A 26,503-nucleotide genomic window follows, 5' to 3' on the forward strand; every position below is an offset into this window, starting at 1 on the left:
AAGATGTATATGCAAAGATTCCTTATTATGTCTTAGCAAGAGATTGTATTCTTTTAACAGCAAGATCTTAAATGATGTCATTGATACTTCTTGGACTCTTCTTATAGGCCAAACACTATATTACTGGGTGCTATATTACAGAGAACCCGACATATATGGCCTCTGCCCTCCCTTATGAAGCTTGCAATCTGTCAGGAGACGTGTACATTAAAAGAATCACATTAAAAATTATGTTGTTGTAAGTGCCATGAAGAAAATAATAGGAGACTTTAGCTGGTAACTTTGAAGCTTAACATAGACTGAAAAAAAAAATGAGTGAAAGTTAGCCAGTTGATGGGAAAGGAAGAGAATGTACAAAGGCTCAGAGCAAGGTATATGAATTTAGATTCGGACAAATACATTTTTAACTGCAAATAAATTAATGCCTTTAATATAGATCTTGCTATTTAAGGAAGTCTTAGACCATTTCATAAGTAAATAGTCTTTTAGTAAAGCGAGATCTTCATTGACCTGATCTGTTTAAATGTAGCCTACACCAATAACTTTCATAAATTTCTATGGCTCTTATAGAGTTCTCCTGGGAAGAAGTGTTTGCCACTCAAGGAATACACTCAAGAAAAACCTGGAAATCACAGAAGGCATTGTAAGATAGCTACAGTGATTCTGTTAAACCTCCTGAAATTGGTCCTTGAACAATTAAGAGGTGCTACAGATGACCAGGAAAATTTACCAGGCAAATTAGCTGTGAGACAATTGACCATTTGTGCCCAATGTTCGGTAATTTATCTCAGATTTATTTTTTAAATTTCCCCATAAATGAATTTTGATATAAATGGTTTTATATGTTATATATAAGAGGTTATGGCTGGGCGTGGTGGCTCACGCCTGTAATCCCAGCACTTTGGGAGGCTGAGGCAGGCAGATCACCCGAGGTCAGGAGTTTGAGACCAGCCTGGCCAACATGGCGAAACCCCATCTCTACCAAATGTAGAAAAATTAGCGAGGTGTGGTGGTGCGTGCCTGTAATCCCACCTATTTGGGAGGCTGAGGCAAGGGAATCGCTTGAATCCGGGAGGTGGAGGTTGCAGTAAGCCGAAATGAGGCCACTGCACTCCAGCCTGGGTGACAGAACAAGACTCCTTCTCAAAAAAAAAAAGGTTATGTTTTTCCCAGTTGCTGTAGTCAGTTCTGTCTCATGATGTATTCTCCACTTTGCAGTTTCTGTCTTCATGCATTTTTTTACCTTCTCAACTCATAAAGGTCTTTGTATTATTTTCCAATACTAACACTTTATTTGTGCCTGTAAGTCCAGTTAATTGGAGACTTGCTCTATCAGCTGTCCTTGCTCACTGCTTTTCTTCCAACTGCTGACATACTTAAAATTATCCTACTTAAGTAGGATAATGAAGTATCAACATACTTAAAATTATTTGCCAACTTCCCCGTCAGATCCTCCCCTCATCTTTCTTAGATTTTAATTCATTTTTCTTAAAACATATGTTTCCTAATTTGTATGGTTTGCAGTCCAGTTTCATATTCTACAGAGTGGGCTTTTTAAAATATGTTCTCTAACTCCCAACCTCAAGTGATCCACCTGCCTCAAAACCTCATCTCTACTAAAAAAAAAATAGAAAAATTAGCTGGGCGTGGTGGCAGATGCCTATAATCCCAGCTACTTGGGAGGTTCTGGCAGAAGAATTGCATAGTTATATGTTTATTGTAAAGAATACTAGAAAATGAATGTTAAAATAAACTATTGAAAATAGAAAACACTGTTTTCAAATTCTCACACTAGCACCCCTAACACTTTCCTGGGTTACCTTTATAAACATTTGGTTTGATAGAGAAGAAACTCTTGGGAAGACTTTTTTTTTTAATAACTGCTCTAGTATAAAATACATAATTATTATAGATCAGAAAAGAGAACATTTAAATCATCTGTATTTTTATCACCCATAGATAATCATTATTAAATTTGGTATCTATCCCTTCATTCGCATATATTTTCAGAGTAACATAGTGAAATTTCAAAGACAGACTGACCCAGATTCAAACCCAGTTCTGCTACTTCCCTGATGGTTTAAGAAAGCCTCTTGATTTCTCAGACCCAGTTTCCTTATCTACAAAATGTAACTAATAATAGAACCTACCTCATGGGATTATTAACTGGGGACTGAGATAATGCCTATAAGAAACTTAGTGCAGAACCTGACACATTATTAAGCATTCAGCAAATTCTAGATGATGGAGAATACTCTGTCACCCAGACTGGAGTGCAGTGGTATCATCACGGCTCCATCTCCCTGGACTCAGGTAATCCTCTCATTTCAGCCTCCCGACTTGCTGGGACTACAGATGTGTACCACCAGGCCCAGCTAATTTTTATAGTTTTTGTAGGGACAGGGTTTTGCTATGTTGCACGGGCTGGTCGCAAACTCCTGGTCTCAGGCAGTCTGTCCGCCTCGGCTTCCTAAAGTGATGAGATTATAGACGTGAGCCACCCTGCCCAGCCTAAATTTTAGATTTTTTTAAATTTAAGAATATGGGGCAGGCCGGGTGTAGTGGCTCACGCCTGTAATCGCAGCACTTTGGGAGACTGAGGCGGGGGATCACTAGGTCAGTTCGAGAGCAGCCTGATAACATGGTGAAACCCCATCTCTACTAAACATACAAAAATTAGCCAGCCATGGTGGCATGTGCCTCTAACCCCTAGTTACTGAGGAGGCTGAGGCAGGAGAATCACTTGAACTGGGGAGGCGGAGGTTGCAGTAAGCCAAGATCGGGCCACTGCACTCCAGCCTGGGTGACAGAGGGAGACTCCATCTCAAAAAAAAAAAAAAAAAAGAATATGGGGCCAGGCACTGTGGCTAACGCCTGTAATCCCAGCACTTTGGGAGGCCGAGGCAGGTGGATCACCTGAGGTCAGGAGTACAAGACCAGCTTGGCCAACATGGCGAAACCCCGTCTCTACTAAAAAATACAAAAATTAGCCGGGCGTGGTGGCAGGAACCTGTAATCCCAGCTACTTGGGGGGCTGAGGCAGGGAGAGTTTCCTGGAACTGGGAGGAGGAGGTTGCAGTGAGCCAAGATCACGCCACTGCACTCCAGCCTGGGTGACAGAGCAAGACTCCATCTCAAAAAAAAAAAAAAAAATTTTATGGAATCATGCCAGGCATGGTGGCTCACACCTGTAATCCCAGCACTTTGGGAGGCTGAGGCGGGCGGATCACTTGCGTCCAGGAGTTCAAGACCAGCCTGGCTAACACGGCGAAACTCCATCTCTACTAAAAATACAAAAAATTAGCCAGGCATGGTGGCACATGCCTGTAGTCCCGGCTACTCTGGAGGCTGAGGCAGGAGAATCGCTTGAACCCGGGAGGCGGAGGTTGCAGTGAGCCGAGATCGCGCCACCGCACTCCTGCCTGGGTGACAGTGAGACTCCATCTCAAAAAAAAAAAAAGAATATGGAATCAAACTACATGCCTTTTTTTTCTGTGTATCTTTTCATGTCATTAAATAGTCTTAAAACAGTTTTTTAAACTTCAAGAAGGGAAAACTCTCAAAGTCTTAAGACATCAAATAAGTCAGTTAAAAGGTGGTATCGTTTATTAAGAATTGTGATCCTTTATCATATTTGATATATGGATATCAAAATGGGATTGTAAGAAAACAAATTCTCAGTGGTGAGTAAAAATCACAAAATAATGGACTTGAATGTATTTTATGATTACATTTGTAAGGTGGGTACAGATAAGGTAAGCACAATTAAAAATGAGGAAAATTGATGTTAGGGTTGTGACATGGAATTTTTTAAATCCCTTTTTAATTAAAAGCAGTCATCTAATCGGGCTTTATTCCAGCGTTTGCAAATGCCTACATAATGCAGACTATCTCCACCTGCATGACTCAGCAGTACCTCACATTCATCATGTCCGGAACTGAATTCCTTATCTTCACTTTCAAATCTGCTCTTCCTTCTCATTAATTTCTGAAAATGGTACCACTGTGCTCATGTCAGTAAGGCTCAGAAATGGGGTATGGGCAAGCAACCATGACGCTTCCTTCAGCACTTTAACAATGTCTGTTCATTCTGCTGCTTCAGTGGTCCTCCTTGTCCCTTCCTCTCCAGTCTCTCCTGCTGCTCACAGATTAATTTCTAAAATACAAATCACTCCCCTATTCAAAAGTCTTCAGAAGTTTTCTGTTGTTTGCCACATGGGGTGGCCTTCTCCACTATATGCCTCCATCTTAACCATCCAACCTCATATCCTACTGATCTCATGAACCTTATGCTATATCCTAAGCAGATTACTCATTCCTAGAGAGTTTCAGTCCACTGCCCCAAACTATTTCCTTTGCCTCTGACACCTGTTTCCCTTTACTTTCTCTGTAGAAGTCGTCTCTTCAAGACCCAATTTATAACCAAACTATGTATTAAACAGAATGAACTGATACATATACAACAATATGGTGGATTTCAAAAAACATGTTAAGCAAAAAACTAGAGACAAAAGGAGTACATACTGTATGATTCCTTTCATATGAAATCCTAGAACAGATAAAAACTAATCTGTGGTGATAGAAATCAGAGTAGTTGCTAGAGGTTGGGGAAAAGAGATTGACCTGAAGGAAACATGAGGGAATGTTCAAGGGTGACTGAAATGTTCTGTCTCTCATTTTGGGTAACTGTAAATGGGTGTGTACTATAGTCAAAACGCATCGAACAGAATGCCTAAGACCTATGTATTTGTTGGTTTGTTAATTATATCTTAGTTTTTTAAAATGGCTTTTTAAAAATTCTGTGGCAAACATTTCTCATGGCTTTCTGAGTGAAGAAACTGCCTCTTGAGTCCTAACTTGGAACATTTTTGTGTCCCTTTTGGGACTTCATGTCGTGGGTAGCAACTGTCTGAAGCTGGTGGCACCAGTAATAAAAAGAATTCACCAAGACAGTTGTAGGTAAAGAAAGGCAGATTTGTTAGAGAAAGTAGGAAAATATGTTGCAAGAAAGCAACGTGCAGATTAGCAAGCGGAGAGCTGACTGCAAGGAGACAAAAGCTTCCAGGGGATTTTATAGGATTGTACTTTTGTTGAAGAGGGCTACATGAAGTACTGCTAACACCAAGGCTGCAGTGAGCTAACTTGCATTTTTCTATCCGCTGAGGTTCTGGTGATAAGTGGGGCACAGGAAGATTGTGAATTATTTGCACGGGAGGGCTATGTGTCCTGGACCATGAAGAAAGGCTGACTTGTAGCTTATCTGCTTTTTCTTTTTGCTTTCCCCTGCTCCCACCAGCCTGACTCCTTTTCCCTAATTAGGAGTCTACACACATTCTAATTAGTATACACTAACAAATAGCACACATATACACACTTGCTCACTGCCCTGGAAGATCTTTGAAAGCAGAAATCAACAGACGTTCATCTTTGGATAGTCCCCAGGCTCCTTGGCTCAGTACAGATTTGTTGGATAAATGTATTCACATTGACCTATTTCCTTTCTGTTCTCGGGATAGAATAGCCTGTAAAGACCTATAAAAGGGGTATCTGACTACTCATACTTGAGATAATCAACTTCAGAGAAAGTAAGGTTTCACTTTTTTCCCTGTATTTTTTATTTCTAACTCATTGTTTGAGCGAATAAGAAGTAATAATTGTTTTAATCCAGTGGTTTGTTTTGTTTTGTTTTGAGGCAGGGTTTCACTTTCATCCCCAGGCTGGAGTACAATGTTGCGATCTCACCTCACTGCAGCCTCTGCCTCCTGGGCTCAAGCGATTCTCCTGATTCTCCCGCTTCAGCATTCCAAGTAGCTGGGACTGCAGGAGCACATCCTTTTGCCCGGCTAATTTTTGTATTTTTTGTGGGAATGGGTTTCACCATGTTGCCCAGACTGGTCTCGAGCTCCTGAGCTCAAGTGATCCACCTGCCACAGCCTCCCAAAGTGCTGGGATTATAGACAGGAGCCACCGTGCCCAGCCATATTTATTAATCTTAAGAGGTGTTGGTTTGCTGGGCGCAGTGGCTCACACCTGTAATCCCAGCACTTTGGGAGGCCAAGGCGGGTGGATCACCTGAGGTCAAGAGTTCGAGACCAGCCTGACCAACATGGAGAAACCCCGTCTCTACCAAAAATACAAAAATAGCCAGGCGTGGTGGCACATGCCTGTAATCCCAGCTGCTCGGGAGGCTGAGGCAGGAGAATCACTTGAACCCAGGAGGCGAAGGTTGTGGTGAGCTGAGATCACACCATTGCATTCCAGCCTGGGCAACAAAAGTGAAACTCCGTCTCAAAAAAAAAGAGGTGATGGTTTAAGTAGTTTTTTGGGGGTTTTTTTTTTGTAACTTTATTACAAGAATTTCTGATTTCTATTGTTTTTAATCCCTGCCGTACTCCCCTTCCTAATACTTATTTTCCCATTATGTTCAAATAGAAGTTCTCAATTATTTTGGAGAACTAATGGCAGATCCAGTATTTCATTGTTCCCATTTTATTTGTTTAGAGACACAGGTCTCACTCAGTCACCCAGGTTGGAGTACGGTGTGGTGATTATAGCTCACTGCCGCCTCAAACTCCTGGGCTCAAGCAATTCTCCCCCTTTGGCCTCCCAAAGTAATTAGACCTATTTTTTGTACAGACGGGGTCTCACTTTGTTGACAAGGCTGATCTCAAACTCTTGGGCTCAAGTGATACCTCCTGCCTTGGCCTCCCAAATTGCGGGGGGTTACAGGTGTAAGCCACATCACTTGGCCTGTTTTCATTAGTTTTAACCCTCAGAAAAATGTTGCGGTAAAGCTTCACTTATTTGCCCAGGGCAAACGTAATTGTTAAATTATATTTTGGCCATTCCTCTGGGGATGAAAACTAAAGTCATAACTTCACCAGAAATGGCATATATGTGGCATTGGTGCCACAACTTTCCCCATCCTGGCCCATGGCAGACAGCACCATCAGTCAGCAGTTTTTCTCACTGAGTCCAGACAGCCACACTCAAGCCTGGAGGATTTGGGTTGGGCATTTAAGATTCTCAGAGGCAGGGGATGGAGGTGGAGGGACCAGACTCTTTCTTAGGTAACTAGTTAGGCATTATACCAATGAATCATGGCCAAGACGTGGAGAGCAGTTGAAGACATTTGAATGTTAAAAGATAAGAAATTAGCATGTGAAGTGTTAAATATTTAGTTCTCTCAGTTTTATTTATACAGAAGAAACAGACCAGAAATCAGGAAACTTTGGTGTGGTTTCAGCTCTGGGAGTGGTTCTGGGAAGTCCCCACATATCTTGCAGACTTTAGTTTCAATTGAAACAAATTTGAACTAAATAATAAATATGACTGTAATTCTACAGTTTTACAATTGTAAATATAGACTATATGAAAGACTACACATTTTCAAATTGTGTGTGTATAAGAATATAACTGAGGAAAATAAATTAATAATACTCATTAGCATATAAGTATTGTATAAATTTACACCTGTGGTATGAGCAAAATGAAATTTAATTGTAGAGGAATGATGCCGTGCAACTTTATCTTCAACTTTGAATGAGAAAAGAGACTTTCTTCTTCCCCGTTAATTTCCTACAGTTTAGATTTTATATTTGAAAGGGACTCTAGAAGTCAACAAATTCAACCCTAATTGATGTGTGGAATAGTTTTTTTCTTCATCTTTTTTTTCTCTCTTAGCACCTTCTAGCCACCATGGCAACCTCATCTGAAGAAGTTTTGCTGATTGTAAAGAAAGTGCGTCAAAAGAAGCAGGATGGAGCTCTGTACCTCATGGCAGAAAGAATTGCTTGGGCACCTGAAGGCAAAGATAGATTTACAATCAGCCATATGTATGCAGATATTAAATGTAAGTCAGCTATACTAAGTTCTGATGTATTTGTATGTCATAGTTGCTAGTAATTTTGTAAAGAGATTATATAAATCTTTATTTTATATCAAAAAATCAACTATGTAGAAATAATTACAAAATGGGGTCACTGAATATATACTGTTTTATAACCTGACCTTTTCACTTAATAACAGAACAGGTACAGGTTTACATATAATATGTAAATCTACCTGACATATAGATCTCCACACACTTTAAGAGTTGCATAATACTCCACTAAATGAATATACAATCATGTATTTAACCAGCCCTCTGTGGTTGGACACTTAGGAAGTTTCCAGAATTTTTTTATTGCAGTGTTTGCACTAATATCATTTCAAGGTTGTATGTGTAGGATACATTTCTGCAAAGAATTTCCTGTTTAATAGTTGATGTGTTTTTTTGTGTTATTGTTGGTAGGGACAGAGTCTTGCTGTGTTGCCCAGGCCGGTCTCAAACTCCTGGCCTCAAGCAACACTCCTGCCTCATCCTCTCAAAGTTCTGGGATTATGTTATAGGCATGCACCACCATGCTTGGCCAGGTTTATGCATTTAAAATGCTGATAGATGATGCCAGATTTTCCTTCACTAAAATTGTACCAGTTAGGCAAGTTGTCTGATCTTTGCTTATGTGGCCATCTTCTGTTGAGAAGACTCAACCTTATAGTGAATGTAGGTGGTGGAATCTCTTTTTATAAATTTCAGGCATGGGCTAGGTGCAATGGCTCACACCTGTAATCCCAGAAGTTTGAGAGGCCAAGGCGAGTGGATCACCTGAGATCAGAAGTTTGAGACCAGCCTGCTCAACATGGTGGAACCCCATTTCTACTAAAAATACAAAAATTAAGGGCCGGGCGCGGTGGCTCACGCCTGTAATCCCAGCACTTTGGGAGGCCGAGGTGGGCGGATCACAAGGTCAGGAGATCGAGACCATCCTGGCTAACACAATGAAACCCCATCTCTACTAAACATACAAAAAAATTCTCTGGGCATGGTGGCGGGCGCCTGTAGTCCCAGCTCCTCGGGAGCCTGAGGCAGGAGAATGGCGTGAACTCAAGAGGCGGAGCTTGCAGTGAGCCAAGATCGCGCCACTGCACTCCAGTCTGGGTGCGAGACTCCTTCTCAAAAAAAGACATATATTTCTGAGAGAATGCCCTACAAATTTCTGTTACTAGCTAATAGCCTTAGCTACTAACATTTCTGTAACAATAGACTTATAAATTAGCAGTATTAGCGTCTCTCTCAAATGGGAAGCTAGCCCCATAGCTTTGTGTAATACACACGCACATTGTGATAACCACAGTGTACAATAAACAGTATGCCCATCTCCAATTTCTCTACAATTCTTCTCAGTTATTGGTGAAAGCAGTGCATACCCAAAACTAGATTTGCACCAGAACAGTTTCAAGTTGAATATTTGAAGGAATGCCCACATCTGAAAGAAGCAATTGAAATTGATTTAGTTCTTATCATAGCTGACAAAGTTACAGAAAATTTTAAAGAATGATACAGTGAAAACCTACGTAATATGCCCCACCTAGATATTAGTTATTATTTTGCCATATTTGCTTTATTATTTGTGTGTGCACTTTTATTGCTTGTAATACCATTATCACACTGAAAACATTTTAATAAAAAATAGCCATTGTTACATTTCCATTGGTTGTCTCAGTAATGTTTATAGTTGTGGTTTTTGGTTTATTTTTTTATTTTTTTATTTTAAAAAAAACGGTATCCAATCTAGGTTCCTGTAGTTGTCATTTCTTTAGTCCCTTTCAGGGTATAGCCTTGTCAAATATCAAACATTCTGAATATTTCTGATTGTCTCCTCAAGGTTTTAATTTATTCCTGTATACCTGTATTTTTTATAAGCTAAAAGTCAGATCTAAAGGCTTGAATATATTCAGCTTAAACATTTTGTGCAAGAGTAATAACATACATAGTGACATTCACTTCCTGTTCCATCACCTCAGAAAGCATATAGTGTCAGGTTGTCTCACTTTTAATGAGGCTAAGTTTGATAACTTTATTAAAGTGGTGACACCAGATTTCTCGAATATAAAATTACATATTTCCCTTGCAAAAAGAAATGCCATGGGCCGCATTTTGCAGTCTTTTGGATCATGATAGGTCATTTTTTATTAATGATAATGTTGATTTGGGGCAGTTTGTTTAAAATACATTCAGGAAGCTTTAAAGAGGTCTGCCCTGCCCTAGTTGAATGGTAACAAAAGCCCATTAATATCTGGAGGTAGTAGCAGTGGGTGAGAAGTGCTGCATGACAAGAGTACCAAAGAAGGAAGCAGAGTGTTAGTGAGTTTGATGAGCATGCTCTGGTTGTATGGGATCATTTAAGAAGAGTGCATTCTACAAAAGCATCAGTATTGGAATAGGGCAGTTAAAGCCCAAAGGAATCCTGAATCATCTTGGGAGAAGTAACTTACTGTATGGTTATTCCCACAGTGTGAGTGTCATCATCTAACTGCCCTCATGCTTCTTTTTAGGCCAGAAAATTAGTCCAGAAGGAAAAGCTAAAATTCAGCTTCAGCTGGTCCTACATGCAGGGGACACAACTAACTTCCATTTTTCCAATGAAAGCACAGCAGTGAAAGAGCGAGATGCAGTAAAAGACCTTCTTCAGCAGCTGCTGCCCAAATTCAAGAGGAAAGCAAATAAAGAACTGGAAGAGAAGAACAGGTGGGAGGAAAAGAATAGCCTTTTGAAAGAGATACTGGGTTCTCTATAGTCTCCTAGTATGCTAATAGCTTGTTAGCTATCCCCACGTTTTTTCGGTTTTGGTTTTGGTTTTTTGTTGTTGTCGTTTTTGTTTTTGTTTTGTTTGTTTGTTTGTTTTGGTGGTGGTGGTTTTTTGTTTGTTTGTTTTTGGATTTTTTTGAGACGGAGTTTCGCTCTGTCGCCTAGGCTGGAGTGCAGTGGCACAATCTTGGCTCGCTGCAACCTCCACCTCCCAGGTTCAAGCAATTCTCCTGTCTCAGCCTCCCGAGTAGCTGGGACTACAGGCATGTGCCACCATGCCCGGCTAATTTTTGTAATTTTAATAGAGACAGGGTTTCACCATGTTGGTCAGGCTGGTCTCGAACTTCCTGACCGCCAGTGATCCACCCACCTCAGCCTCCCAAAGTGCTGGGATTACAGGTATGAGCCACCACGCCCGGCCACCTATCCTCACTTTTGCTATGATACTGTAATGTAGGAAAATATGGGCTCTAGTGTCTTTACCTTGGTGTTTAGTTTTCAGCTTTAAAATCTTACTGCTTGTTTGACTTTGGGAAACGAGAATGTGCAAACCCAGAAGCTGAATTAACTGCATCATGCTTAACATCTGCTTAGGAGCAGAACCGGGATTGGAAGGTGCTGAAGTTCCTTAATTTCTTTTCCCAGTTCTCTGTCACAGAGAAGATGCTAAGCCATTGGAAGTATGCTTATGAACAAGAAACCTAAAATAATTCACACTGAAAAAGTGAGACAGTATGTAAAATAATGAGAATTTTTTTTTTTTTTTGAGACAGAATCTTGCTCTGTTGCCCAGGCTGGAGTGCAGTGGCGTGATCTCAGCTCACTGCAACCTCCACCTCCTGGGTTCAAGCAGTTCTCCTGCCTCAGCCTCCCAAGTATCTGGTATCACAGGCACACGCCACCACACTTGGCCAATTTTTCTATTTTTAATACAGGGTTTCACCACGTTGGCCAGGCTGGTCTCAAACTCCTGACCTCAAGTGATCTGCCTGCCTGGGCCTTCCAAAGTGCTGGGATAACAGGTGTGAACCGCCACACCTGGCCACAATTTCCTTATGAATTATTCCATCACCAATATCTTTCAGGCCAGCAGTGCTTATATCTGTGCATGCTTAGCGCCATGAAAAATCCATTGCTGAAGGCGGGGCATAATGGCTCATGCCTGTAGTCTCAGCACTTTTCGAGGCTGAGGTGGGTGGATCACTTGAAGTCAGAAGTTCAAGACCAACCCAGCCAACATGGTGAAACTCCACGTCTACTAAAAAAAATACATATCTATGTATACAAAAATTAGCTGGGTGTAGTGGCGCATACCTGTAATCCAGCAACTTGGGAGGCTGAGTCAGGAAAATCGCATGAATCTGGGAGGCAAAGGCTGCAGTGAGCTGAGATCATGCCAGTGCACTCTAGCCTGGGTGACAGAGCGAGACTCCATCTCAAAAAAGAAAAAAAAAACTTCATTGCTGGAAAATTTCAAGCATACCTCCTTTTCTGCCCATTTACTTCTGTATATGAAAGAGAATACATTCAGCCTTCCATATCCAGGAGTTCTACATCCACAGATTCAACCAACTTTGGATCAGAAGTACTTGGGAAAAAAATAACAGTACGATAATTAAACATAATACAAATAAAAATATAACTATTTACCTTGTATTTGATATTACAAATAGTTATTATTATAAGATTTATAATATAAGATTTAAGTATATGGGAGGATATGTATAGGTTGTATGTAAATACACCATTTTATCTAACGGACTTGAGCATTTTCAGATACCAACAGACAGTACACTGCAGACATGGTGATCTTTGAATCACTGGGATACGGAGATGAATAAGATCAAACCCATGTCCTCAAAGGGTTTAATCTTTCCTTTACACCTACCTCCATTTATCACCACTTCATTTGTTCCTCCAAAAATGTGGGGTATTTTGCTCTTAATTACTGAAAAGTGAACTGAAGGACCTCTGCTGCTCAAACATCACAAAATAAAAGTTGTGTGTTTCAATGTTTTGTGTTGCCAAAATCTTTTTAAAATGTACCTACATGGTGTTTTATTCTAGAAGTTCAGTTATATTCAGTATATTCTGCTTTACAGAATGCTGCAAGAAGATCCTGTTTTGTTTCAGCTTTATAAAGACCTTGTTGTGAGTCAAGTGATCAGTGCTGAGGAATTCTGGGCCAATCGTTTAAATGTGAATGCAACAGATAGTTCTTCCACATCCAATCATAAGCAGGATGTTGGCATTTCTGCTGCATTTCTGGTATGTGAGCCTTCTAGATTTCTGAAGAAAATAAAAATTCAAACCCCAATATGTGTCTTAAGACCATTATTCCTTTTGTAAAACTTAGCATTTCCTTAAAGGAAAGTAATGGAAAATTGAGTATCCATGGTATTCTTCACTATTATTGAACTATTATTATTATGTTTGTTTGTTTGTTTGTTTTTAAAAGACAGGGTCTCACTCTGTCACCCAGACTGGAGTGCAGTGGCACAGTGATAGCTCCCTGCAGCCTCAAACTCCTGGGCTTAAGCGATCCTCCTGCTTCAGCCTCTCAAGTAGCTGGGACTAGAGGTGTGCACCACCTTGCCTGGCTAAATTTTCTTATTTTTATAGGGCGGGGGGCAGCTCTTTTTGTATTTCCCAGGCTGGTCTCAAATCCCTGGCCTCAAGAGTTCCTCCCATCTTAGCCTCCCAAAGCTCTGGGATTACAAGTATGAGCTATCACACTCAGCCCTCTTCCAAAATGTTTTTAAAATACATATAATTTTTTTTAAATTTATATTTCTTTTTACCAGTTATGTTTTCTTGGCCTTTGGACTTGACCCTAGCATGCTGGTAGTCAAATGGAATTTGAAAATGACTCTTTCAGAGTTTGGACTAATACTTACTTTTTCAAATATTTTCAAATGTAGGGCTTTCTGCTGCCTTTTTAAACCTTTGCCATATTTTACTTACAATACAAGGTTAAATGTATCATGACCATATTATAGAAAATGTAAGATTTGTAAACTATATTAGAACAATTGGGAATACCTTATCTGTGGAATTATGGAATGGAATTCAGTCAGTTGGTATTCTAGTGGAACCAGAATAGTATTAACACATTCAACAAAATTTTGAATACTATTTGTATGTTTGGTATCTTTTTTGGATGTTTATTAGTGAAGTGAATTAATAAGGCCTTTCCCAAAGAAGTCAGTCAGTTAATGTTAATTTAATTATTTACTAACCAAGGTTTGTAGTGATTTTTATGACTATACAAGTTTTATCTTAAAGCTCCACTGCCTCTCTGCCTTCATACTTAAACATGCCTATTTGACCATATTAGACTTCCAAAGGAGCAGATTTTATAGGTCACTTAAGACCGTGAGAAACCAGTCAGGCTTTTTTGAGTCCTGCCTCTGTGCAAAAAGTGAAGGTGAGGGACTTTCTCTGTCTATGCAGTTAGTTCAGAAATTTTTTTTTCCACCTTTGTCCAGTGTCCACTGGGACCTGAGCCATCTTTCCCTGATGCTCTAACGTGTATGTGTGTATGGGCTTTGTTTTAGGCTGATGTCCGGCCCCAAACTGATGGCTGTAACGGTCTAAGATATAATTTAACTTCTGATATCATTGAGTCCATATTTAGGACCTATCCAGCAGGTAAGAAGAATCAGTTCTTTCAGATGGTTAAAATATATGGATATATTCTATAGTATATCAGTGAAAAACAAAAAGCTTCAGATTCCTGATCAAGTGCAATAAATTATGTAAAGTACTTTTTACCCAGTGCCTGACATATGGTAGATACTAGGGGCTCAGTAAATAATGTGTTGTCATCAGTTCACTAATATGACTGCCATTCGAGTCTGTCTGTACTACTAACTCAGATCATTCTTCATTCTGCATCCAGAGTGACCTTCCTAACCCACAAATTACTTCCCGTGCAGATGCCATCCTAAAAGTATAGATTCCTTGACCCCAGCCTCAGTGATTTATTATGTGTAGACAAGGATGAGAGCCAGTGTGTCAGTCATTCTTCTGACTAAGCAGTACTCTCTTAAGCTGTATTCTGTTCTCGCTTCCCTCTTCCCCACTCTTACCCCTTTAGTCCCTTAGGAATCTCTCTCTCAGGACTCAGCTCAAGCATCACCTCCTTGCCACCTCTATGAAATCCTGGCCAGTCCCAGTGGCTCACGCCTGTAATCCCAACACTTCAGGAGGCTGAGGCAAGAGGATCCCTTGAAGCAAGGGGTTCAAGACTAGCCTGGGCAACAAAACAAGACCCTATCTCTTTTTTTTTTTTTAATTGAGACAGAGTCTTGCTCTGTCAACCAGGCTGGAGTGCAGTGGCGCGATCTTGGCTCACTGCAACCTCCGCCTCCCAGGCTCAAGTGATTCTACTGCCTCCGCCTCCCAAGTAGCTGGGACTACAGGCACGTGCCACCACGCCAAGCTACTTTTTGTATTTTTTGTAGAGATGGGGTTTCACCCTGTTGGCCAGGCTGGTCTTGAATTCCTGACCTCAAGTGATCTGCCCGCCTCAGCCTCCCAAAGTGCTGAGATTACAGGCTTGAGCCACAGCATCTGGCTCTTTTGTATCTTTCTGATGGTAACATAATTGTGTAGTGTTTATTATGTGCCAGACGCTTTTCTAAGTTCTTTTTCTATAGTAACTGATTTAATCATCACGTAAACCTATGAAGTAGAGGTACTGTTATGACCCTCATTTTACAGATGAGGAAACCAGGGTGCAGAAAGATTAAGTAATTTGCTCAGGGTCACACAGATAGAAAGTGGCAGACCTGGAATTTTAAACTCAGAGCTCAGCAAACAATGCTGTTGAACTCTATGCTTGCTAGTGTGTAAGCCGCTGGAGTGCTGAGCTGACAGTCCAGTGGATATTGAGATCATTATTACCCCACAAGCTAACACAGTGCCTTGGATTGAGAGTGCACATATATAAATGAGCAAACAAGCAGACTCAGCTCTGACTCCTGAGATTCTTGGTATTTCTACTAAAACTTCAAAACCTTATTCTTTTGGTGCAAATAAGGTTTTGTTTGTAATTTGTAAGATTTATAGAGGTCATACCTCACCTAATCTCTCAAGTTACCCTTCATATTTATAATTAGATTATAACTTATAGTATGTAGAGTTGAGAGCTTTATGGTCTAGATTTTGCTATTTGTATTTCAGTTACCTAATTTGAGAGGTTTTAAAAATGGAAATTCAGTATATAATATTTGTGGGTTTTTTTCCACAGTAAAAATGAAATATGCAGAAAATGTTCCCCACAACATGACAGAGAAGGAATTCTGGACACGTTTTTTCCAGTCCCATTATTTTCACAGGGATCGGCTGAATACAGGGTCAAAGGATCTCTTTGCAGAATGTGCCAAAATAGATGAAAAAGGTAACTGTTTATCTCTGATAGACACTGGTATTTAACTTGCCACCCTCTAGACATTATAAGTGTTAATTTCTGAGACAGATAAGACATGCTGAACTTTTTATTTTGTTGATTTTCTAGGCCTAAAAACAATGGTTTCATTAGGAGTGAAAAACCCACTACTAGATTTAACAGCTTTGGAAGATAAACCATTAGATGAGGTAAGAAGCAATAAAAGAAGTTTTGAGAGAAAAGAGTCTTTTCCTAGTCTTCAACATTGTCTTAAGCGTAGTAGACCTATTCCACTTGTGAGAATGTCAAATAAGCAAAATACTGTTACTTGAAGTGATTTATCGGAAGTGCTTTGAAATAGCGTTGTTTGCCATTAAAATTGCCTAGAAGAAATGAAATTCCTGTGTGAGTTGCTAAAACCTTTTAAAAATAAATTTCTAGCTCCCTCATCCGCAGTTCTCTAGTAATAATAAAGGCTTAATGTGATGAGTTCAGCTTTATGCTCTAGCTAACATTTAATCTAAAGAAATATGGATAAATTAATAAATAAGGAAGATAACAAACATTTGTTGATTGCTTACTATCTGCCAAACCTTAAGCACTCTCATGACCCTTATACCATGCCAACCCCAATGTTTCAGCAAGTAGGCCATCATGTATGACCTACCTACCTCAGCATCATGACCCCAGACCTACAGATTTATCTACTTGCAGAGAAAGAGATGGTTCCTGTTGTGATCAAGGATAATTTTATCACTGCCTCTGTCTTCTAGGCCAGAACTTGTCTTCCTCAGTTATTCCCTTTACTCTGAGTTTTCATTTTCTTGCTCTTATTTTTCTTCTTTTTCTGTCTCTTTTTTTTTTTTTTTTTTTTTTTTTTTGAGAAAGAGTTTCACTCTGTTGCCCAGGCTGGAGTGCAGTGGCGCAATCTTGGCTCACTGCAACCTCTGCCTCCCAAGTTAAAGCCATTCTCCTGCCTCAGCCTCCCAAGTAGCTGGAATTACAGGCACGTGCCACCACACCCAGTTAATTTTTGTATTTTTAGTAGAGACAGGGTTTTGCCACGTTGGCCAGGCTGGTCTCAAACTCCTTACCTCAGGTGATCTGCCCACCTTGGCCTCCCAAAGTGCTGGGATTACAGTCATGAGCCACCACGCCCAGCCAGTGTATTTTCAATTTATACTTTGATCATACAGTGAGTTTTTCAGGACATCACCCTTTCAGAAGTGAAGAAGAATCTATACAAACATGGCCCTCTTTAATTATCCTGAGAAAATAAAGCTTAGTGGCGCTTAGACTTACAACTTAGTATGAAAGGAAGACTTTTTTAGTGCTTTTTTTTTCTTTAAAATAAACATGATGGCATATTGTACATGTACATTTGTAACTTTATCTTCTGTTTAGTATCAATAGCTGTATAAACCATCCCATAGTTTAAAACATAGACTTTAAAACCAAACTAGCTGACTTAGATTCTGATATCTTCTAACATTTCTAGGCCCTGTTTGGTTTTTGTTTTGTTTTGTTTTGTTCTGTTTTTTGAGATGGGATCTCACTCTGTTGCCCAGGCTGGAGTACAGTGGCCTGAGCTCGGCTCACTGCAACCTCTACCTCCTGGGTTCAAGCGATTCTCCTGCCTCAGGCTCCCGAGTAGCTGAGATCACAGGCACATGCCACCACGCCAGGCTAATTTTTGTATTTTTAGTACAGGCGGGGTTTCATCATGTTGGCCGGGCTGATCTTGAACTCCTGACCTCAGGTGGTCCACCCACCTCGGCCTCCCAAAGTGCAGGGATTACAGATGTGAGCCACTGTGCCCGGCCCAAGCCCAGTTTTTTTGTTTTTGTTTTTGTTTTCCTTAGTGAGGCTAATAGTACTTGCCTTATAGGATTTCTATGAGTTAAAAGAGCCTAGTGCGTAATAAGTAGTAGGTAATAGGCATTATTGTTGTTATCTGTATTTTTAGATGCCTGCATAGTATTCCATTGGTATGGGTATATCAACATTTATATAACCAATCTTTTTACTACAAATATTGGTTGATGCCATTTTTCATTTGGTGTTCCTTCTTTCCTTCTCAATCTTCTGGTTATAGTAACTATCACAGGCTATGATCTATGGCCTCCTGAATGCATTCTCTCTATTCCATTGCTTTACTAGATATGGGGAACAGGGGAGGGAGTAAAAATAAAAATAAAAACATTCTTGTTACATAATGATGAATCCTGAATAACCATAGTCTGTCTTTGACTGCAGAGCTCTAGCTGCCTACTTGACATCTCCTCTCAGGTATTTCAAAGACATCTCAACTTCACATGTAAAATGGAATCTTTGATTCCCATCCTCATAAACGTATCTCCATGGGTATTCCCTCTCTTAGTAAAAAGCATTACAATTTGCTCAAGCCAAAAACCTGGGAGTCGGCGAGTCTCCTTGATTCTTCCTCTTCTTTTTTATGACGGGCTCACTCTGTTGCCCAGGCTGGAGTGCAGTGGCACAATCATGGCTCACTGCAATCTTGACCTCTTGGGCTCAAGCAATCTGCCTTAGGCTCCTGAGTAGCTGGGACTGTAGCACAGGCTACCACACCTGGCTAATTTTATTTTTTGTAGAGACAGGGTCTCCCTATATTTCCCAGGCTGGTCTGAACTCCTGGGCTCAAGCTATTTTTCCACCTCGGCCTCCTAAAGTGCTGAGATTACAGGCGTGAACCATTGCAGCCAGCCATGTTTTCCTCCTGTTATGTCCAGCATTCAGTGTATCAACAAGCCTCGTACAATACACCTCTCATCTGTGGGATCTACACAAACGCTTACACCCTTTCATGTTTACGGTATCATCATCTTTGGCCTGTTTGCTTGCCTTAGCCTTCTAACCTTTATTTTTGCTATCTTGTCTTTTATAGTTTATTCTCCCCTAGCAGTAATAATTATAATATAGGCCGGGCGTGGTGGCTCGTGCCTGTGATCGAGCACTTTGGGACGCCAAGGTGGGTGGATCACCTGAGGTCAGGAGTTTGAGACCAGCCTGGCCAACATGGTGAAACCCCATCTCCACTAAAAATACAAAAATTAGCCGGGCCTGGCGGCACATGCCTGTAATTCCAGCTACCCAGGAGGCTGAGGCAGGAGAGTCGCTGGAACCGGGGAGGCAGAGGCTGCAGTGAGCTAAGATTGCACCACTGCACTCCTGCCTGAGTGACAGAGTGAGACTGTCTCAAAAAAAAAAAAAAAAAAAAGGATTATAATATAAATCAGATCCTAATAATCCCCTATGTGAATCTCTTCATTATCTTCTCATTGAGCTTAGAATAAAATCAAAACTCCTACAAGACTGCTAGATTTGGCTCCTGCATACTTCTCAGTTGGGGCCACTTCTACTCATTCATGCTTTAGACATAATGACCATTCACTTCCATGCCACGCTTTTTCTACCTCAGGGCCTATGCACTTAACTGATCTTCTACCTGCTTGTTCCCTAACCAGCTTCTGCCTATCTTTAGATACCTGTTCTAATGTCATTTCTCGCCAGGTGGGGTGGCTCATGCCTTTAATCCTAGCACTTTGGGAGGCTGAGGTGGGAGGATCGTTTGAGTCCATTGTGAGACCACATCTCTAAACTTTTTTTTTTTTTAATTTAAAAATTAGCTGGGCATAGTGGTATACACTTGCAGTCCCAGCTACTCGGGAGGCTAAGGTAGGAGGATCACTTGAGCCCAGGAGGTCAAGGCTGCAGTGAACTGCGATTGCACCACTGCACTCCAGCCTGGGCAACAGAGCGAGAACCTGTCTCAAAAAAAAATAAAAATATAAATTTAAAAATTAAAAATTAAAAAGTTGCGTGCTTCAGAGAGGCTTTCTCTAACCACCCACAAATTCAGTCACTTCATCATGTTACCCTCTGTTTTATTCAATGACATTTTCCACTTTCAAAAAATATTGTGTTTACCTTGTTTTACTTGATAATTGCATTCACACTCCTCTCAGAGTGTAATCTTCATGAAGCTGACTTTGTTCTGTTTATTGGCCTGTTCCTAGCGCATGTCATGTAGTAATAATCACTTAGTAATTATTTGATACATTGATGAACAGCATATGGATCTTTTTTTTTTTTTTTTTGAGATGGAGTCGTGCCCTTTTGCCCAGGCTGGAGTTCAGTGGCGTGATCTCAGCTCACTGCAATCTCTGCCTCCCGAGTTCAAGCACTTCTCCTCCCTCAGCTTCCTGAGTAGGTGGGATCATAGGCACACACCACGCCCAGCTAATTTTTGTATTTTTAGTACAGGGTTTCACCACGACCAGACTGGTCTTGAATTCCCAACCTCAGGTGACCCACCCACCTCAGCCTCCCAAAGTGGTGGGATTACAGGCGTGAGCCACCACACCCAGCACATATGAGTTTTTTTTTTTTTGAGACGGAGTCTTGCTGTCACCCAGGCTAGAGTGCAGTAGCACCATCTCGGCTCACTGCAGGCTCTGCCCCCTGGGGTTCATGCCATTCTCCTGCCTCAGCCTCCTGAGTAGCTGGGACTACAGGCGTCCGCCACCTCGCCCGGCTAATTTTTTGTATTTTTAGTACGGAAAGGATTTCACCGTGTTAGCCAGGATGGCCTCGATCTCCTGACCTCATGATCCACCCGCCTCAGCCTCCCAAAGTGTTGGGATTACAGGCGTAAGCCACCACGCCTGGCCCATATGAGTCTCATGATCTTTCTTTCACCTTTTTAGCCTCACCAATTCCTGGACCACCGTTATTAGTGTATTGAACCATATACAGTCTCATGACACAATATGTACTACATTGCTGCTTTGCTTGTGTTTTGTTTTATTTTTAAATAGAGACAAGGTCTCACTGTGTTGCCAGGCTGGACTTGAACTCTTCGGCTCAACAGTTCTTCTGCCTCAACCTCCCAAATAATCAGGACCACAGTGCCTCTTTGCCTTTGTTTAAGCAGTTTCCTCTCCCTGAAATGTTATTGTCTCCGATCTACTTGGCAAGCACCAGTTTATCTTATGGTTCTCTGTGAACCTTTTTCGAACCCTCTTCTCCAGTAGGATTGATTAGTAATTCTCTCCAGCCCAGCTTCCCACTAACTAGTATTTAAGCTCCTATGGCATGGGGTCTTAATCAATTTTGTATCTACATGGTCTAGCAAGTAGCGTGCACTCAATACATGTTTTAAAATATAATCTCATTTTATTCTCTTTTATCCTACTTTATAGAGCTTGGAAAAGTTTATCTTGCCTAGATTAACGTTAGAAAAAGAATTTGACTCTTTATCTTTCTGAATCCATAGTCAGTGTTTTTCTCACTATATTCTATTCTTTTTATTTACTTTTTTTTTTTTTTTTTTTTTTGAGACAGTCTCACTCTGTCACCCAGGCTGGAGTGCAGTGGTGCAATCTCAGCTCACTGCCACCTCTGCCTCCTGGGTTCAAGTGATTCTCCTGCCTCACTCAGCCTCCCCAACAGCTGGGATTACAGGTGTGTGCCACCATACCTGGCTAATTTTTGTATTTTTGATAGAGATGAGGTTTCACCATGTTGGCCGGGCTAGTTTTGAACTCCTGACCTCAGGTGACTCGCCCACCTTGGCCTCCCAGAGTGCTGGGATTACAGGTATCCTGACTCTATTGCTTTTATTTAACGTTTTGATAACTAGATCCAAATTGTTCTTTAAAAGAGAAATGCAGACCACGCACGGTGGCTCACACCTGTAATCCCAGCACTTTGGGAGGCCAAGGTGGGCGGATCACTTGAGGTCAGGAGTTCAAGACCAGTCTGACCAGCATGGTGAAACCCCATCTCTACTAAAAATACAAAATATTAGCCGGGCGTGGTGGCAGGCGCCTGTAATCCCAGCTTCTCAGGAGGCTGAGGCAAGAGAATCACTTGAATGCAGGAGGCGAAGGTTGCACTCCAGCCTGAGCAACAGAGCGGGACTCCATCTCAAAAACAGAGAGAAATTCAGTTTAAGATGTATTTTGTAATGCTAAAACGAGTTAGTGCTATTTGTTAATCTTTTATGTGCATAATGTCACTTGTTTTTAAATGTTTGTTCATAAATATTTAATGTTCGTGAGAAGTAATAAAAGTCCCATCATCCAGCAAATTTTTTCAGCTAAGCGTGTCTTATAATAAGAAAAGCAGAACCTTTTTAAAAAATTTTTAATCTATTATTTCTCACAGGGCTATGGCATTTCCTCTGTGCCATCTGCTTCCAATTCTAAATCCATAAAAGAGAATAGTAATGCTGCCATCATCAAGAGATTTAACCATCACAGTGCCATGGTCCTGGCAGCTGGACTCAGAAAACAGTTAAGTATAAATGCAGAGGTGCAGTAACTGGGCTTTTCAGGATATCCAGATGGAGTTGTGGTGTTGTTTTGCTTGTGGTTTTTAACGTTAACTTTTTTTTCCCCTTTATTTTAAGAGAAGCACAAAATGAACAAACTAGTGAGCCCAGCAACATGGATGGAAATTCCGGAGATGCAGACTGCTTTCAGCCAGCAGTCAAAAGGGTATGGGCAAAAAAATATGAACCATTTGGGGCTCAAGTTTCTCCAAATACTTTATGTGACTGCAAGTACTGTATACGCTTATTTCCTGTGACTCAGTTCTTCTAACTAAGATGTTAAGCATTTGGCTTAAAGTGTATAGCATTACAAAGAGTATTTCCCCAGCTTTGGCTTGCCAGCCAACTTTCCATTGACTCTAGCCTGTTAGCCATTTTTATTGTTTTTTGTTTGTTTGTTTGTTTGTTTTCCTCACATGTACACATACATACAGATTGTTCTTATATGTGATTTTGTTCTCTGGGAATAAAATCTTCATTCAACAGAGGCAATATGACAGAAAAACCGAAGTTTCATGTATATGATTTTTCAAAGAAAGTGAATTGGCCCTCATGTTAAACCTAGCATTTCAGAGCTGAAAGTGTCTTCTCATTAAATATTGAAGAAATCATTTGAGGGTGTGGAGAAGGATGGACAGAATTAGCTGCTTGTGTATTTATTCTTCTCCTGCAACTTTGCCACGCTATTTTGTACCTCCCTTCCTAATTATGATAAAGCTTTCTTAGAGAGCAGTCAGGCAATGTGTATTAAATGTTTAAAGCTTTACACCCTTAGTTCTACTTGTGGACATTTATTTCTTAAGAAAGATGTATACTAAGATTTAGATAGAAATATTCATTACAGTATCATAATAAAGACAGTAGCAAGGATTCTGTTATCTGTGTTGCATTAATACAATAGAGATTGATGCAACTGTTCATTATTTTGAAAGCATTAATGATAATATTGCATCAAAGAGTTCACTGAACAGATTGTACAGTACAGTTTTACACACAAAAAAAATAGTTTGTGAGCTTTAAAAGGGCCTTCAAATGAATATGCTAAACGGTTATCTTTCAATAAAGAGAGTATGGGTAAGTCTTAATTTCTTTCATTTATTTCAGTAATTTAATGTTTTTGTTGTTGTTATTGTTTGTTTTTTTGAGACAGAGTCTTGCTCTGTCACCCAGGCTGGAGTGCAGTGGTGCAATCTCAGCTCACTGCAATCTCGGCTCACTGCAACGTCTGCCTCCTGGATTCAAGCAATTCTTCTGCCTCAGCCTCCGGAGTAGCTGGGATTACAGGCGTGCACCACCATACCTAGCTAATTTTTGTATTTTTAGTAGAGACGGAGTTTTGCCATATTGGCCAGGCTGGTGTTGAACTCCTGGCCTCATGTGATCCGCCCATCTCAGCCTCCCAAAGTGCTGGGGTTACAGGCATGAGCCACTGTGCCAGCCTATTTCAGTAACTTAATGTTTTTACAGGCATGTATTACCTATAAAATTAATAAAGCCAGTGAGGTATTTCTTTTTTGAACTAAAGCAAAGCTAATAATAAGTTATAGAGAAGTTAGAGAAGAAATCTATTAAGTGATACTTTCTTTGTATACTGTTGGGCTGAGTACCCTTGATTCTTGGTGGTGAACAAGTTATCAGAAATTTCTTGGCCAGGAGCCGTGGCTCACACCTGTAGTCCCAGCACTTTGGGAGTCCAAGGTGGGTGGATCACTTGAGGTCAGAATTTCTAGATCAGCCTGGCCAGCATGGTGAAACCCTGTCTCTATTAAAAATACAGAAATTAGCCAGGCATGGTGACGTGCGCCTGTAATTCCAGCTACCTGGGAGGCTGAGGCAGCAAAATCACTTGAACCTGGCAGGCGGAGTTCGCAGTGAGCTGGGATCGCGTCGCTGCACTCCAGCCTGGATGACAGAGCAAGACTCCATCTCAAAGAAAAAATAAAAAAGAAATTTATTTACTTGTGTGAATTTTTACAATACAGATGCTTCTCGACTTAAATGGGGCTACATCCCAATAAACTCATAAGTTGCAAATACTGTAAATCAAAAATGCATTGAATACACCTAATGTATGGAACACCATAGTTTAGCCTATCCTACTTTAAATGTGTTCCGAACACTTAGATTAGCCTGTAGTTGGGCAGCATTACCTACTATAAAGTGTATTTTCTAATAAAATGTTGAATATCTCATGTAACTCATTGAATACTGAAAGTGAAAAACAATGTATGGGTACTCAAAATATGGTTTCTCTACTGAATGTGAATCACTTTGACACCATCATAAAGTTGAAAAATTCCAAGTCAAACCATTGTAAGTCAGGGGCTATCAGTATTCAGTGGTAAATGCTGGCTCTAACTATTCTTCCAAGTCAGTGGTTGACTGCTGTTTATTCTATAAAGGGTTACAATTTATAGATTCTCTCACTTGTAGAATGAGAGATTCAGAATTAATAGCAGACAGAGTCCCTACCTTGATGGAGCTTTCATTTAAGTGTGAAAGTCAGGTGACCTAACAAGGCCTTGGCATAAGTTTAGGATTTGGATTGTTATGGGAGCTTGGGTAGGGACATGTCATAGGTAAGGCAACAGCAGGGGTAGAGATAAGCTTGACATATGTCAAAAATCATGAAGACATCAGTAATCCTTGAAGTTGGCTGAAAGGTATAGAGTTGAGAAAGTAGTTAAAAAAAAAAAAGTCAGGCTGAGTCTAGGTAAGGATGTGTTTCTCTGAGGTCAGATTTGTTCCTGTACCATAAAGGGACTATTTAGAATCTTAAAGCTGGAGCAATTTAAAACGTTAAGTTTTCAGATTGAGGTCAGATTTGTGACTTCATGTGAGGTCAGATTTGTTCCTGTACCATAAAGGGACTATTTAGAATCTTAAAGCTGGAGCAATTTAAAACGTTAAGTTTTCAGATTGACGTTTTTTGAGGTATAGTTAATAACCTGAATGTTCTGATTCTAGTCTTGGTAGTCAATAAGAGTTGACCAGATGAATTTCATAGCTTTGTAGAGGATGAAATATTTCAAGGCTGATTTGCACAAATGTTTACATAGATCATGTATCTTTCATAAGTAATATGTTTGTATTATTACAAGGCTGTAAAAATTTAAGCAGGTTGTTAATAGCACAGGGGGTAACAGATTAATAAAATTAATGAATAAAATTACTAAAAGAGTCCAGAAGTAAACCCAAATACGTGGAGGAATTAAGCATATGTATGATACACATGACATTTTAAAAATCAGTGGGAAAAGGTAAATTATTTTACAAATGGTGTTAGAAGCACTGATTGATAATTTTGTTAAAAGAAACTTAGATTCCCTATTTTACTCCTAATCCAAAATAAATTCTGAGTGGATCTAAGATTAAGCAAAAATTAAGCCGGAAGCTGAGCATGGTAGCATGTGTCTGTAATCTCCGCAATTTAGGAGACTGAGTTTGGCTGGGGAGGTGGTGATATGCGCCTAGAAAAAAAAAATTTTTTAAGCCACAGATGTATAAGCAAAAAGCGGGCAAAGAGGCGGAATTTTTTTTTTTTTTTTTGATGAAGTCTCACTTGTCGCCCAGGCTGGAACGCAGTGGCGTGATCTCAGCTCACTGCAACCTCTGCCTCCCGGGTTCAAGCGATTCTCCTGCCTCAGCCTCCCAAGTAGCTGGGATTACAGGCACCTGCCGAGGAGAGGATTTTTTTATAATTAAAACAAAACAAAACAAAAAAACACCAAACTGGAAGATAAAGTATTTACAACATGTAAAAGACTGTTTCCTTAATATTTAAAAGTCTTATTTTTTAAAAAGTACCCAATATAAAAATAGTGGAGAGCATAACAGATCATTCATTTGGGGAAAAAATAATAAAATGTAAACTTTCACCTACCAGATTGGCAAAAGTAAAAAGTTCAATAATACTTCATGTGGTCAGAGTGTAAGAAAACTAGTATTCTTAAGTAGTTGTTGAGAAAATTGGTTCAGCCATTTGTAGGACAGTCATCTCTAGGAAGAGAAGCTCATGGTGGGAAGACTTCATTTTTTACCCTCTGTACAGTTTTGTTTTTTCAGTCATGTTTATTGTGTAAGAGAAAGTTGTGACAAAATAAAAAGTACTGTGTTAATAATTATA

General features: G+C 40.2%; 1 protein-coding gene and 1 long non-coding RNA gene across 6 annotated transcripts in view; both read left to right on the forward strand.

The window, feature by feature from the left end:
• Positions 1-26,503, forward strand: part of GTF2H1 (general transcription factor IIH subunit 1) — a 44,479-nt gene that overhangs the window by 2,810 nt on the left and 15,166 nt on the right. For 2 of the 5 annotated variants that reach the window (XM_024448457.2, NM_001142307.2), the window contains 9 exons: positions 571-777; positions 7,684-7,852; positions 10,378-10,570; positions 12,733-12,898; positions 14,188-14,281; positions 15,885-16,034; positions 16,152-16,231; positions 22,212-22,339; positions 22,456-22,543. In XM_024448457.2, the coding sequence (XP_024304225.1) occupies positions 7,699-7,852; positions 10,378-10,570; positions 12,733-12,898; positions 14,188-14,281; positions 15,885-16,034; positions 16,152-16,231; positions 22,212-22,339; positions 22,456-22,543 (1,053 nt within the window). In that variant the 5' untranslated portion in view covers positions 571-777; positions 7,684-7,698. Of the gene's footprint in view, positions 1-570; positions 778-5,566; positions 5,586-7,683; positions 7,853-10,377; positions 10,571-12,732; positions 12,899-14,187; positions 14,282-15,884; positions 16,035-16,151; positions 16,232-22,211; positions 22,340-22,455; positions 22,544-26,503 lie in introns of those variants that run through there. The other 3 variants (XM_006718208.4, NM_005316.4, XM_024448458.2) reach the window with 2 other exon arrangements.
• Positions 23,741-26,503, forward strand: LOC105376577 (uncharacterized). The gene is made up of 2 exons (XR_007062611.1): positions 23,741-25,111; positions 25,219-26,503. It is a non-coding gene; the product is annotated as an uncharacterized LOC105376577 (long non-coding RNA).

Source organism: Homo sapiens, chromosome 11, assembly GCF_000001405.40.
Source record: "Homo sapiens chromosome 11, GRCh38.p14 Primary Assembly".
NCBI classification, from domain to species: domain Eukaryota; kingdom Metazoa; phylum Chordata; class Mammalia; order Primates; family Hominidae; genus Homo; species Homo sapiens.